Below are 16,741 nucleotides of genomic sequence, written 5' to 3'. Positions count from 1 at the left end.
CTGACTCTCTTGTTAGAGGCTAATGCAGCTGGTAATTTCTGAAGCCAATGTTCATTTATCATTCTGAAAATTCTGGGGCCCTTAAGAATTATGCTAAATCTACTTTGCATGTGCTCTGTAAATGGAAGAACAAAGCCTAGATGACAGCACATCTGTTTACAGCATGATTTACTGAAGATTTTAAGCCCATTGTTGAGAATTGCTGCTCAGGAGAAAAGATGCCTTTTAAAATCTTACTGCTCATTTACAATGCACCTAGTGACCCAAGAGCTCTAGGGACAAAGACCAGCCAAATTCCTTATTACACAGCAGTTGTATTTTCATTTTCTTTTTTAGAGACAGGGTCTCTGTTGCCTGAGCTGAAATGCAATGGCACAGTCATAGCTCACTGCAGCTTCAAACTCCTGGGCTCAAGCAGTCCTCCTGCCTTGGTCTCCCAAAGTGCTGGGATTACTGATGTGAGCCACCACGCCCAGCCATTTTCTTTAGTTCAAAATATATATTTTTTAACTTTCTCTTGAGACTACTTTTTTGACTCCTGTGTTTATTTATAAGTGTGTTTTTAGATCTCTAAGTATTTGGGGATTTTCCAGCTATCTTTCTGTTACTGATTTCTGGTTGAATTCCATTATGGTCTGAGAGCATGCTTTGTATGATTTCTATTCTTTTACCTTTGTTAAGGTGTGTCATATGGCCCAGAATGTGGTCTATTTGGTGAATGTTCTATACAAGTGGGAGAAGAATGTATATTCTGCTGTTGTTAGAGGAAGTATTCTATTAATGTTAGTACATCCAGTTGATGGATGGTACTATTCAGTTGAACTATATCCTCCTGATTTTCTGCTTGCTGAATCTGTCAGTTACTGATAGAGGGGTGTTGACATCTCCAGCTATTATCGTGGATTTGTCTATTTCTAAAAACATTTATATATGTTTTTGCCTCATATATTTTGATGCCCTGTTGTTAGGCATGTACACATGGGATTGTTGTGTCTTCCTGGGTAATTGACCCCTTTATAATTTATGTGATGTCTCTCTTTATCCTTGATGATTTTCCTTGCTCTGAAATCTACTTGTCTGACATTAATATAGTTACTCCAGCCTTATCAATTAGTGTTAGCATGGTATATCTTTTTCTGTCCTTTTAATTTATCTGTGTCTTTATTTCTAAAGTAGGTTTCTTGTGGACAGCAATAACATATAGTTGGGTAGTTGGGTCTTTTTTTTTTTTTTATCTACTCAAATAGTCTTTTTTTTTTTTTTTTTTTTAAGAGACAGCATCTCTCTCTCTCTTGCCCAGGCTGGAGTGCAGTGGCGAGGTCATAGCTCACTGTGGTCTCAAACTCCTAGGCTTAAGCTATCTTCCCACCTTAGCCTCCTAAGTAACTAGGATGACAGGCATGCACAATCATGCCCACCAAATATTTTTTTGGTGGGGGACAGAGTCTCGGTCTGTTGCCCAGCTGGAGTGCAGTGGCATGATCTCGGCTTACTGCAACCTCCGCCTCCAGGGTTCAAACGATTCTCCTGCCTCAGCCTCACAAGTAGCTGGGACTACAGGCGCCCCCCACCACACCCGGCTAATTTTTTTGTAGTTTTAGTAGAGACGGGGTTTCACTGTGTTAGCCAGGATGGTCTCGATCTCTTGACCTCGTGATCCGTCTGCCTCGGCCTCCCAAAGTGCTGGGAATACAGGCGTTAGCCACCGCGCCCAATGCCCAGCTAATTTTTTAAAAACTTTTTGGAGAGACAGGCTCTCATTATGTTGCACAGGCTGGTCTTCAACTCCTGGCCTCCTGTCTTGGCCTCCCAAAACACTGGGATTACAGGTGTGAGCCACCACACCCAGCCTCTGTCTTTTAATTGGTGTGTTAAGACCATTCTTATCAAAAGCAATGATTGAAATAGTTGGATTAATATCTACTATATTTGTAATTGTTTTCTATTCATTACCCTAATTTTTTGTTTCCTTTTTTTGTCTCTTAGTTTCTGTTTTCTCTGGTGTTAATTGAGCATTTGATAGGAATCCATTTTATCTCCTCTTTTAGCATATTAATTATACTCTAAAAATTTTTTTAGCGATTGCCCTAGAACCACTTTTGTATGTATGCCACAGTTGTAAATATGGATTTACAACTAATCTAAGTCCACTTTCGAATACTATACAATTTCATGGTTAGTACAAGTATCTCATAACAGAGTAACCCAATTCCTGTTCTACAACTGAATAGCTCCCTCGCATCCCTTATAACATTGCTGCCATACATTTCATTCATACCTAAGCTGTAATACCCAGTATTTTGCAGTTTTCATTGTTTTGAACAAACCTGTCTTTTAGATCAGTTAAGAATATGAAAAATAAAAGATTGTATTTTACAAACTTCATTTCTTTCTCAAACATTCTGCCTTTCTTTATGTAGATCTGAGTTTCTGGCTTATATCATTTTCCTTCTCACTAAGGAGCTTCTTTTAATATTTCCTTCAAGACAAGTCTACTGGCAAAAAATTCCTCCATTTTTGTTGTCTGAGAAGGTCTTTATTTCTTCTTCACTTTTGAAGGATACTTGCACTAGATACTAAATTTCTTCATCTTTGATTTTTTCACAGTGTGAATGTGATATGCTTAGGTATAGATTTTTTGGTATTTATCTTGCTTGGTGTTTTCTGGGCTCTGGATATGTGGTTTGGTATATATCGTTAGTTTTGGGAAATCCTCAGCCATTGTTATTTCAAATATTTCTTCTGTTCCTTTCTCTCTATTCTTCTATTATTTCCATTATACACATGTAACACCTTTCATAATTGTCCCACAGTTCTTGAATATTCTTTTTCTTTTCTCTCTTTTCAGTTTGGGAAGTTTCCACTGACATATCTTAAAGCCCACTGGTTCCTTCCTCCTGAGGAGCCCGTCAAAGGCATTGTAAATATGAATTTACGACTAATCTAAGTCTGATAGTGTTTTTGATTTCAGCATTTCCTTTGATTCTAAGAGTTTCCATCTCTTTGCTTACATTATCCATCTGTTCTTGCATGTTGTCCAGTTTTTCCATTAGAGCCCTTAACATATTAATCTTAGTATTTTAGATTCCCAGTCTGATACTTCCAGAATCTCTGCCATATCTAAGTCTGGTTCTGATGCTTGCTTTTCTCTTGAGACTGTGGCTTTTGCTTTTTGGCATATGATATGGTTTGGCTGTGTCCCCACCCAGATCTCATCTTAAATCCCCACGTGTTGTGGGAAGGACCCAGTGGGAGGTAAATGAATCATGGGGACAAGTCTTTCCCATGCTGTTCTTGTGACAGTGAATACGTCTCATGAGATCTGATGGTTTTAAAAAGAGGAATTCCCATACACAAGCTTTCTCTCTTTGCCTGCTGCCATCCATGAAAGATGTGACTTGCTCCTCCTTGCCTTCCATCATGATTGTGAGGCTTCCCCAGCCACATGGAACTGTAAGTCCAGTTAAACCTCTTTCTTTTGTAAATTGTAAGTTTGGGGTATAGCTTTATCAGCATGTGAAAATGGACTAATATAGTAAATTGGTACCAATAGAGTGAGGTGTTGCTGAAAAGATAACTGAAAATGTGGAAGCAACTTTGGAACTGGGTAACAGCAGAGGTTGGAACAGTTTGGAGGGCTCAGAAGAGGACAGGAAAATGTAGGAAAGTTTGGAACTTCCTAGAGACTTGTTGAATAGCTTTGACAAAAATATTGATAGCAATATGAACAATAAGGTCCAGGCTGAGGTGATCTCAGATGGAGATGAGGAACTTGGGAACTGAGCAAAGGTGACTCTTGTGTTTTAGCAAAGAGACTGGCAGCATTTTGCTCCTGCCCTAGAGATTTGTGGAAGTTTGAACTTGAGAGAGATGATTTAGGATATCTGGCGGAAGAAATTTCTAAGCAGCAGAGCATTCAGGAGTTGACGTGGGTGCTATTAAAAACATTCAGTTTTTTAAGGGAAGCAGAGCATGAAAGTTTGGAAAATTTGCAGCCTGACAATATGATAAAAAAGAAAATCCCAATTTCTGAGGAGAAATTCAAGCCGGCTACAGAAATTTGCATGAGTAACAAGGAACCGAATGTTAATCCCCAAGACAGTGGGGAAAGTATCTCCAGAGCATGTCAGAAGTCTTCATGGCAGCCCCTCCCATTACAGGCCCAGAGGCCTAGGAGGAAAAAGTGGTTTTGTGTGCCAGGCCCAGGGTTCTGTGCTGTGTGCAGCCCAGGGACCTGGTGCCCTGTGTCCCAGCCACTCCAGCTGTGGCTGAAAGAGGCCAATGTAGATCTTGGGACATGGCTTCAGAGGGTGCAAGCCCCAAGCCTTGGCAGCTTCCATGTGGTGTTGAGCCTGTAAGTGTGCAGAAGTCAAGAATTGAGATTTGGGAACCTCCACCTAGATTTCAGATGTATGGAGACTCCCAGATGTCCAGGCAGAAGTTTGCTGCAGGGGCAGGGCCCTCATGGAGAACCTCTGCTAGGGCAGTGCAGAAGGGAAATGTGGGGTTGGAGCCCCCCACACAGAGGCTACTAAGCAGTACTGGGGCACTGCTTAGTAGAGCTGTGAGAAGAGGGCCACCGTCCTGCAGACCCCAGAATGGTAGATCCACTGACAGCTTGCACAGTGTGCCTGGAAAAGCTGCAGGTGCTCAACGCCAGCATATGAAAGCAGCCAGGAGGGAGGCTATACCTTGCAAAGCCACAGGGGCTGAGCTGCCCAAGGCCATGGGAACCCACCTCTTGTATCAGCGTGACCTGGATGTGAGACATGGAGTCAAAGGAGATCATTTTGGAGCTTTAAGATTTGACCGTCCTGCTGGATTTTGGACTTGCATGGAGCCTGTAGCCCCTGTGAAAACAAAGGGGCCAATTTCTCTCATTTGGCATGGCTGAATTTAGCCAATACCTGTACTCCCACTGAATCTAGGAAGTAACTAACCTGCTTTTGATTTTAGAGGCTCATAGGCAGAAGAGATTTGCTTTGTCTTGGATGGAACTTTGGACTGTGGACTTTTGAGTTGATGCTGAAATGAGTTAGGCCTTCGGGGGACTGTTGGGAAGGCATTATTTGTTTTGAAATGTGAGGATGTGAGATTGGGGAAGGGCCAGGGGTGGGATGATATGGTTTGGCCGTGTCCCCACCCAGATCTCATCTTGAATTCCCATGTGTTATGGGAGGGACCCAGTGGGAGGTAATTGAATCATGGGATCAAGTCTTTCCCATGCTGTTCTTGTGACAGCGATTAAGTCTCACAAGATCCGATGGTTTTAAAAAGAGGAATTCCCCTGCACAAGCTCTCTCTCTTTGCCTGCTGCCATCCATGTAAGACATGACTTGCTCCTCCTTGCCTTCCACCATGATTGTGAGGCTTCCCCAGCCACGTGGAACTATAAGTCCAATTAAACCTCTTTCTTTTGTAAATTTCCCAGTCTAGGGTATGTCTTTATCAGCAGCATGAAAACAGACTAATACAGCATACCTTATAATTTTTTGTTGAAAGCTGGACATGGTGTATCAGGTAAAAGGAACTGAGGTAAACAGGCCTGTAAGGTGAGGTTTTATGTTTATCTGGCTAGGCCTTAAGACTGTGTCTACTGTTTGCTGTCACTGTAGATGTCAGAGGCTAAAATTTCCTCTAGTGTCCTTGTTTTTGTCTGCTCTTATCTTTAGCTTTCCCAAAAGACTCCTCTTTCAGGATTAAGGGTCTGAGCCTTGCAGTTCTTTCATTTTTAATCCCCTGATATTATACAGGAATGCTCCTGATGTGGTAGTAAGATATAGGGGAGAAGGAAGCATTCTCTTATTCTGTGATTAGGTCTTAGTCTTTCAGTGAGCCTGTGCTTGTGGGCTGTAACCTTCACATGTGCTTCTCAGCTTTATTTTCCCATGTAGGCTTGGCTATGGTGACATAGTTGCCCTTGAGAGTTAGCATTTGTTAAGGAAAACAAAATGCTCTGGGTATATTTGGAAATGGTTACTTTTCCCTTCCCACTGATGGAAGGGAAGCACACGGAGATTGTTCTTTGGTCTTCACAATGAGAACCTGGTGGAGACTCTGGAAATAAAACTCATGAAAGGGGGCTCTACTATGGTTGGGCCTCTAGGAGCTTTTATCTGTCAAGCTAGTCCATGCTCAGTCTCCAACAATTAGTCAAATTACTCTAAGTATTCCTACCAATGGCTGGCTCCAGCAGTAGTTTCTCATTCCAGCAAGCTATAATACTCTGTATTACCTATCTCTCCAGTTTTCAGGGCAGCGGTTTGCCCTGCGACCTCAATTCTCTGATAAATGTAAGATTTTTTTTTTTTTTTTTTTTTTTTTTTTTGAGGCAGAGTCTCGCTCTGTCACCCAGGCTGGAGTGCAGTGGCGTGATCTCGGCTCACTGCAAGTTCCACCTCCCTCCCGGGTTCATGCCATTCTCCTGCCTCAGCCTCCTGAGTAGCTGGGACTACAGGCGCCCATCACCACGCCTGGCTAATTAAGATTTTTAAATTTTCTGTTGTTTCAGCTTTTTTCTTGTTATGAGAATAAGAGGACTTTCAAGCTCAAAGTTATAAAAGCAACAAAAAGTGAATAAACATTGACTCCAAATTTGTTAACATTTATTTCATATTTTACTAATTGAGTTTTGGATTTTTCAGTTTATTATATATTTCTAGTTACTTTGCCATAATTTTTTGTTTTTGTTTTTGTTTTTGTTTTTGTTGAGAAAAGGTCTCGCTTTGTCCCCCAGGCCGGAGTGCAGTGGCACAGTCGCAGCTCACTGCAGCCTCGACCTCCTGGGCTCAAGCAATCCTCCCACCTCAGCCTTCAGAGTAGCTGGGACCACAGGCATATACCACAATGCCTGGCTCATTTTCAATTTTTTTTTGTAAAAAAATTTACAGGCTCTCACTATGTTGCCCAGGCTAGTCTCAAACTCCCAGGTTCAAGTGTTCCTCTGGCCTCAGCCTCCCAAAGTGCTGGGATTACAGGCATAAGCCACAATGCCCAGCCCTGCCATAATTTTTTTAAATTTAGCTAATTTTTTCAAATATTTGGGACTGAGTAGATAGGATAATATGGTAAATTTCATGATTTGAATAAAAGTAAATTTCAAATTCAAAATAATGTCACCAGATACACTATACATATACAAAATTGCTTTTAAAAAAAAATAAGAATTGCCTAAGTCTGAGTTCTAGACACACCACAAATGGGTAAAATATGATAAGGACTTAATGCCTCAAATGTTTCTATCCAATCTTGTTTACACTATAGTTTTTAGTGTGTTCTAACCATATGAAAATGAACAATTTAAACTAAGGAAGTTTTATTTTACACTTGCTGCAAAGATTTGTTTGTGTGTCAGTGTTCTTCTCCTTGCCTAATTTTTCCTAATTCTTGATTTAATTTTTCTTGAAGAATGCTGCACTAAGCCATGGTACTGATAGACATTTTTTGCAAGAAGCGCTGCACATGCTTCTCCTCCATCTTTTCATAAACCTTTCGTGTTGAAGGCATTTTTGTTGCTTGGGAACACATTTGGGAAATTTACCAAAATAATTGTCTGATCATAATATTTGCTAGGAAGACAGCTAGGAGCATACCAGAGGAACTTCCTGTAGAAAGAAAGATGACAAACTCAGTTGCCCTTCTGGCAATCCTACCTGAATCTGTTACAGAGCAGTTCCCTTATGCAACTCCTTGGAGAGGTGAAGTCCTACCAGGATAGCTACTCATAGCCCTGTATCTAATGGCAGACTTCTTTTTAATCCTCCAACATAATTCTACTGCAGAAAAACATTTGTGTTACCAGAATTTTATTAAAGCTAAACTCCTAAAACAGGCAAATATTGAAACTAGTAAATAAAGAACTGACCTCAAAATAAAGAAGTGAAGTTAGGCACCATTTCAACTCTTTTATAATATATAGTTGATCGTAGTTGATCGTAGTTGATTGTACTTGATTATAGTTGATTATAAGTCTCTCCTTTATAATATGTAGGTGATTTGATGTTTAAAATTTTTTTATGCAAGAGGAAGCTAGTTAGTTGAAAAGAAATACTGGCCTATTAACAAGGTATTTTAGTAAAACTTGTCCAGTCATAGTACTTCAAAGGTCAAAATGATGTTCCTTATTAGTACTTCAAATTTTGGCTATTTTATTTTAGGTATTACCAATGGTTAAGTCATTTCAAATTATTTATACACATTATTATAATTTTGTAATTAAATTTGTTGTTAGCATGGCTGTTCCTTGAAATTTTGTTGACTTGAACAAATTTTTAATTACAATCTTGTTCTGTCAGTAAATGACCCTGCTTGATGTTAAAGGCATGTACTAGTGGAAGCTACACCTCCCATAATCTCAAAGGGGCATTATGATTCTCCAATCACAGTCATAACTCTCTTTTACATGACTCTTCCTATTACCATCATTTCATCTACTCAAGGTCTATCAGCTTCAAGTAAAGAAATTAGCTTGTGATTACCTGAGAAAAGGAGAATGAATGAAATTTAGTTCACTCAGTAAATATTAATTCTTCTACCCAAATCATACTTAATGAATTTAACACAAACCCCCATGTTCCACTACTGGTTTAGTGAGTGAGTGAATGGAAAGGCTTTGCTAACTATTCTAAACATTACCATTTATAATCTCTTCTGAATGTATAATAAAAATTTACAATTTAAGTCTTTCCTATGAAATAATTTTCCCCAAAATATTATAAACTTGAAGGCAAAAAACAAGCTCTCTCAAGTACTAAGGAGATAAAATAATAAACTCTCAATATTACACACCAGTTTTTTAAAATTATTTATTTTACTTTAAGTTCTAGGGTGCATGTGCACAACGTGCAGTTTGTTACATATGTATACATGTGCCATGTTGGTTTGCTGCGCCCATTAACTCGTCATTTACATTAGGTATTTCTCCTAATGCTATCCCTCCCCCATTCCCCCACCTCACAACAGGCCCCAGTGTGTGATGTCCCCTTTCCTGTGTCCGAGTGTTCTCATTGTTCAATTCCTACCTATGAGTGAGAACATGCGGTGTTTGGTTTTCTGTCCTTGCGATAGTTTGCCCAGAATGATGGTTTCCAGCTTCATCCATGTTGCTACAAAGGACATGAACTCATCCTTTTTTATGGCTGCATAGTATTCCATGGTGTAGATGTGCCACATTTTCTTAATCCAATCTGTCATTGATGGACATTTGCTTTGGTTCCAAGTCTTTGCTATTGTGAATAGTGCTGCAGTAAACATAAGTGTGCATGTGTCTTTATAGTAGCATGATTTATAATCCTTTGGGTATATACCCAGTAATGGAATCGCTGGGTCAAATGGTATTTCTAGTTCTACATCCTTGAGGAATTGCCACACTGTCTTCCACAGTGGTTGAACTAGTTTACACTCCCACCAACAGTGTAAAAGCGTTCCTATTTCTCCACATCCTCTCCAGCACCTGTTGTTTCCTGACTTTTTAATGATCGCCATTCTAACTGGTATTACACACTAATTTTTTAAACCATTTTCTAAGTTATATACTTGGGATATGTAAGTTTGAATTCCCTATGCAGAGGTCTTCTCATAGAGAGATATATAATATATAGATATAATGAGTGGCTACAGTACCATAGTCACTCAGTAATCACTGTTTATGGATTTAAAATCTCTTTTTTTTTTTTTTTTTTAAGTAAAATGCACTGGTCTTAAATGTAGAGTTTGAATTTGACAAATGTATACACCCAGGTAACCAACATCCCTGACAAGATACAGAGCATTGCCATCACCCTAGAAAATGCCCTTCTGTCCTTTTCCAGGCTGCCTTCTCCTCCCACAACCATTTTTCTAATTCCTAATCCAGTATATGAATTTTATCTGTTCTTGAGCTTCTTATAAGTGAAATCATACAGTAGGTACTCTTTTGTATCTCATTTCTTTGATTCAACAAGTTTTTGAGGCTCATGGATGCCTAACTTTTCAAGAGCATTCATATTCCCATAACTCATTTAAAACATAATGCTAACTTCTGGGCTGGGCACAGTGGCCCACGCCTGTAATCCCAGCACTTTGAGAGGCTGAAATCAGGAGTTCGAGACCAGCCTGGCCGATATGGTGAACCTCATCTCTACTAAAAATACAGAAATTAGCTGGGCGTGGTGGCGTGCACCTGTAATCCCAGCTCCTTGAGAGACTGAGGCAAGAGGATTGCTTGAACCTGGGAGGCAGAGGTTGCAGTGAGCTGAGATTGTGCCACTGCACTCCAGTCTGGGCAACAGGCTGAGACTCTGTCTCAAAAAATAATAGTAATAATAATGCTAACTTCTAATACTTCAGGTTCATCACAGCACAAATGATTTTTTGTAGTCTTGTAGGGCTATGAATTAACTATTATTGCCAGATATATCATCACTAAAATATTTGCATATAAATTAAGTTGAAAATATAAGTAATTACATATAAGTCATATATCTTTATATTCATTCTAGGCCGGGCACAGTGGCTCACGCCTGTAATCCCAGCACTTTGGGAGGCCAAGGCTGGTGGATCATTTGAGGTCAGGAGTTCGAGACCAGCCTGACCAACATGATGAAACCCCGTCTCTACTGAAATACAAAAATTAGCCGGGTTTTGTGGCCAGCGCCTGTAATCACAGCTGCTGGGAGGCTGAGGCAGGAGAATCGCTTGAACCCAGGAGGTGGAAGTTGCAGTGAGCTGAGATGGTGTCATTGCACTTCAGCCTGGGCGATAGAGCAAGATTCCCTCTCAAAAAAATAAAAATAAATAAAAATAAAATATCTTCATTGTGTAAGGCAAAGTTTCTAATAAACAGTGATTTTTTTTACTAGCATACAATAAGGACAGTTTCATATTTCTTTGCCTTTGTGTACTTTCCAGACACATAGACTAAAACGAAATGTTTAGTTTTTCCTTTACATTGTGTGTTTCAATAGACATCAATTAGCTGTCTTCAGTATGAACTTGGGATGAGGGCAATAAGAAACCCTATGTTTCCAGCCTCCACTAAGATGAACTGGCAGTGTGTCAGGAAAATTCCCAGTATGGAGCAGTTTTATTACAATTCAGTACAGTTGGTTCTTGCATAACCTTTAGAAAATCATACATAAAACATTCACATCTATATAAATAAAAATCACCCACACACTTTATTAATAGCTTTGTTCACTTTTTTTCCTGGGTGTTATGCTGCATGTTCCTACTGAGCCCCTTTTTTAAGTCTTTTTAAAAGATAACTTTAAGCTTTCTTAAAAGCAGAAAGGTTATGGTAATATTAGTAATCAAATATAAGTGTAAGATAATTCTTGATAAGTCCCATTAGACACATATCTCCCTCCTGATCACATACTCTAACTAGTGTCTAACTGTCCTTTTTACATTTAGTGACAGGGACTGGCTTATTCGCTAGATATAGCCAATTTAACTTTAGGAAAGAAAAAGGGACAGAAGATTGTACTTTCTTTCATTTGTGATAATGTTGGGGTTTATTTTAAAACAACTTTTATGGTTATATTACTGTTAGTTTGACTGCAATAAATACATGGGAAAGTGATTACAAGAACATACAAGTAGTCTTGGCCTCCTTTTTCTTTAGCTAGAAACATGTTTTAATTAACCAGAAGTGTATTTTCAGGTGTCATTTTCCTAAATCCAAACTTTACAAAACTTGCCATATATTCCCCCAAAGTATGTGGTATAAAATATCAAAATAATTTAATAATAAGCCTCTAGACTTAACTACCAATTTATAGGAAATATAAGAGCTAGAGAAACATGTTAAATGGCATCACTGTCCAGAATGTGGGAAATCTACAGGACAAATTACCCAATTTCTTTAACAAATGAATAACAATAGGGAGGGGAAGATAGGTAAATGTTTTAGATTAAAAGAGATCTATAAATCAAATACAATATGTGGACCTTGTTTGTATCCTAATCTGAGCAAACCAACTGTAAAAAGATACTTTTGAGACAGTTTGAGAAATCTGAATGTTGACTATTCGATGACATTTTAAAATTATCAATGTTGAGAAGCATAATAAAGGTATTGAGGTTGAGATTTTATTTAAAATATTCTATGAAAAAAATAAATTTGGAAGTAATAGCTAAGACAAGAATGACAAAATATTGTTAATTGTTGAAGCTATGTGATGTAGGTTTGCAATTTTCCGTAGTATAAAGTTAAATTAAAACACACACACAATGAGAAGGGAAAAAAAATAGATCATCACTGTAATAGGAAGCAAAACTATATTCACTTTAGGGTAGCAATTTAGTTTCAGCCAACAGTGGCATCCTATAAATTAAGTACATAATATATTAAATTTGGGAGAAGGAGAGACAGGCCAGTCAGTCAGTCTGTCCTCTTTCCTTCCCCTTCCCCTTCTTCCTTCCTTCCTTCTTCCCTCCCTCCCTCTTTCTTTCTTTCCTTTCTTTCTCCTTTCTTTCTTCCTTTCCTTCCTTCCTTCCTTCCTTTCTTCTTTCTTTCTTTCTTCCTTCCCTTCTTCCTTCCCGTCTGTCTTTTTTTCTGTCTGTCTTTTGACAGGATCTCACTCTGTTGCTGAGGCCGGAGTGCAGTGGTGAGATCACAGGCTCACTGCACCCTCAACCTCCTGTGTTCAAGTGATCCTCCCACCTCACCCTCTCTAGTAGCTGGGAGTATAGGCATGTGCGCCACCACGGCCAGCTAATTTTTGTATTTTTTGTAGAGACAGGGTCTCACCATGTTGCCCAAGCTGGTCTTGAACTCCTGGACTCAGGCGATCCACCCGCCTCTGCCTCCCAAAGTGCCGGGACTACAGGCATGAGCCACTGCGCCTGGCCAGGAAAGGCATTTCTAATTCAGCCTTACCTAACCTACAACTCACTGCCCCCTTTTCTCCTACTTAATACCATAAAATTGTAGGTGATAATGCATTGTTTGAAAAGAATGATGGGCCAGGTGTGGTGGCTCACACCTGTAATCCCAGCACTTTGGGAGGCCGAGGTGGGTGGATCACGAGGTCAGGAGATCAAGACCATCCTGGCTAAAGAAAAGAATGATGAACTTCGAATGGAGCAGATGGACCTAGTGTTTGCAGTGAAACACAAGTGTCTTTGACTTCAGCTTTAGTCTCCCTCCTATGCCATTTGTGGCATTCCCCTGGGACTGCCATACTATAATTGTGGAGTCAGTTGTATGCCATTTCCTCATAGCCAGAACTTTTGAGTTTATATATTATTCTTTGATAAAATACCTATTTTACAACAGGACATTCTTTTTTTACCTTTCATTGTTTTTGTTCTGTAAAAATGAATACTCTTAGTGAGTAGATTAAGCGCTTTACACACATAATTTTGTATAGCATAATTTACCTTCTAGGAATTTTTTCTTTCCTGAGACTCGATTTCATGGTATTTTTCTAGTAGAGCCTGGGTCTAATCAGAACATGGAACTGTACACAATTGGTATTTTGATACTTATCCATATCACAGCAAAGAAAAGTTTGTAAAATAAATGAATGTTGAAAGCAGTTTCTTCAGTGGACCTGCTTTTCTAAGTGGGAACATTGGTTTTCAATGCTGTGAAGGCTTGGCTGAGATGATCTAGAAAGGAGCCCTCACAAATCTGCATTTTAGAACAAATGCCTTCTTTCTGAATTCTCTAGTATTATTCTACCATGACAAATTTAAGAATAAGCCAAACAATTTTTAAGATCCAACTCCAGCTATAATTGAAATTATTAAGGCACCATACATAAAAGTAGTTATTTTACATTTGAACATATTTGTGTAATCTATTTTATCAACGTATCTGTAATCATCTATTTTATCAACCAAATTTTGAGTTCTCAAAAGATCTGGAGTCATTTCTGTCAGTGTAACTCTACGTAGCCTCTGTCATAATAATGTGAAAGTAGAAAGATACTTGCTAAATATATCTTGATTAAACCTGACTTGTTTCATCTCCTAAACCTAGAACTTTAAACTCAGAACTTTGGTTGATAGGAGAAGGTTTAAGTATAAAAAAAATGTGAATAAGACTGCATTGTGAAAAGTATTACTACTAAGAGCATTTTTTTGTATTATGAAAAGTACCGTAAGATAGTCATGGAATTTGGATAGTGGCCGGGTGCAGTGGCTTACAACTGTAATCCCAGTACTTTGGGAGACCTAGGCAGGTGTATTATTTGAGCTGAGGCATTCAAGACCAGCCTGGGCAACATGGCAAAACCCTGTCTCTACCAAAAAAAAAAATATATATATATATAATATATATACATATGTAAAATATATATTATATAATATATATTATATTATATATAATATATGTATTATATAATATATAAAATATATAATATATATTATATAATATATAAAAATATATAATATATATTATATAATATATAAAATATATAATATAATATATATTATATGATATATATAATATATAATATAATATATAAAATATATATAATATAATATATATTATATAATATATAAAATATATTATATGATATATATAATATAATTTATATAATATAATATATATTATATATATTTTATATATTATATTATATAATATATTATATATATCATATAATATATATTATATATAATATATAAAATATATATGTACATATATAAGTAATATATGTACATATATAATATATCTTATAAAAAGACAATTTCTTATATAAGAAAGTTGAATAGGTACTGGTAAAAATAATAGTTGTTACTCTTTATTAAGTACTATTTGTCGAGCACTTCACTAAGCACTCTATTTACAGTCATACATTGTGAAAGTGTGCTAAATTTATATACTACACAGAGTTTTCAGTTGGGATTTTTGAAAAATATAAATGCTAGAAGAGTAATGATTGTTTAATAGTCTGTATAATCTCTGTAACACTGGGGAAATACATCATTTTCTTGACATAGTTGGAAGTACTGTAAAGAAGGCATGCTTTCTATAACATCTTATTAAAATTACCCATCTTGTGATGAAAACTGATGAAATTAGTATAACCTCTCATCATGATGGCCAAGCTTTGTGACCCTTTATTGGAGTGGTTTTTATTCTAATTATTAACAAGTTTGGTGTCTGAATTCATTCGATATCTAATAAAATTGTTGACAAGGAAATGTAGTTTTGACACTTCAGAAGAGACATTTTCTACTTTATAAAATTAAGTTCCTACATGTGAAATTTGAGAAGCCACCAAAGTAAACATTCTATTATTCATTTAAAGCTCTTAATTGAGCCGGGCGCGGTGGCTCACGGCTGTAATCCCAGCACTTTAGGAGGCTGAGGCTGGCAGATCACGAGGTCAGGAGTTTGAGACCAGCCTGACCAACATGGTGAAACCCCGTTTCTACTACAAATACGAAAATTAGCCAGGCATGGTGGCAGTTGCCTGTAATCCCAGCTACTCCAGAGGCTGAGGCAGGAGAATTGCTTTAACCCAGGTGGCGGAGGTTGCAGTGAGCCGAGATCGTGCCACTGCACTCCAGCCTGGGCAACAGAGCAAGACTCCATCTCACACACACACACACAAAAAGCTCTTAATTGTATGAGCACCTCTATGCCATTTAGAGGCAACCAGTATTAATATTTAAAATTCAATTTTATTTAAGATTGTATTATCAATGTTAACAACCAGACTGAATAATTAAAGGGCCATTAAAGTAATACATAGGAATTAAACATTTTGTATAGAAGAAAAAAATTAAAAACCCTCTTGGTTTAAAATGAAATATTAATATAAGACAGGTGTTTTTGTTTGTTTTTAACTAAATAAGGCTTTTTTTCCTAAAACTATGACATCATTAATAACTTCCCCCATACTCCAATAATAGACAGTTTTTCCCCATCATCTCCCTAGTACCTAGGGCAAACTTACAGTTGTTCTTCGCAATATGAATGGAATGGTAAAGCCTGGAAAGTCCAGTAAAATATATTATCTTATAACTGAGTTTTTCTCACCAAATTTTTAACCACATCTGCTATTGACAGGTAAACAAATTTGAACTGATTGCCTTTTGCTTTCCATGATAATATGCAGGTGAGTGCGCAAATAAGTGGTAAAAGACCAACAAAGCAGTAAAAAGAAATAGACAAAGTATTCAACCAGCAAACTAAAGAACTCATTTCTGAATATTTTTCTATCCCCCTACCCTCCCGTATGAACTCCTTTTTGGCAGTAACTGTCTCATTCTTCCCTAAGTGACAGACACATCAGCTGGAGTACGTCATTTAAGCCAGTGTAGGTGATTTAGGCTGGCAACTTTAAATAGCTGCCATGAAATGTTGTCATTAGTTTGCTATCTGCAGGGAAAACAAAATGAAACAGGAATATACAAAATGAGATAAGAGTCTCTCTTACCTTACATAAACCTTATGTTTGAGGGCAGGGGGCAAACCTTTAAAAAAAAATTATTTATTTATTTAGAGACATGGTTTTGCCATGTTGGCCAAGTTGGCCTCCTGGGCTCAAGTGATCCTCCCGCCTCTGCCTCTCAAAATGCTGGGATTACACGCATGAGTCACCACTCCCAGCTGAAAATTTTTAAAATTTATTGTTAGTTCATATTTGGGAAACAAAAAGCTCACTTTTCAGTCTGAGATTTTGCAAAAGTGGAAGTGTAGTGTAAAAAAATATAAAACATACATACCAATAGCCAGCCTAAAACTGCTTGTTAGCAACCCAAGCTAGTAATTAAAAATTTTGAAATCTGGGAATAAAAGCAAGAT

At 37.7% G+C, this 16,741-nt stretch overlaps 1 protein-coding gene across 1 annotated transcript in view; it reads left to right on the top strand.

Annotated features, from left to right (window-relative positions):
- CIRSR (corepressor of RBPJ and splicing regulator) overlaps positions 1-16,741 on the top strand; it is a 47,691-nt gene that overhangs the window by 26,698 nt on the left and 4,252 nt on the right. The gene's annotated exons all lie outside the window — the stretch shown is intronic.

Source organism: Homo sapiens, chromosome 2 (assembly GCF_000001405.40).
Source record: "Homo sapiens chromosome 2, GRCh38.p14 Primary Assembly".
Classification (NCBI taxonomy): domain Eukaryota; kingdom Metazoa; phylum Chordata; class Mammalia; order Primates; family Hominidae; genus Homo; species Homo sapiens.
This window is presented reverse-complemented; position numbering and strand designations above follow the sequence as displayed.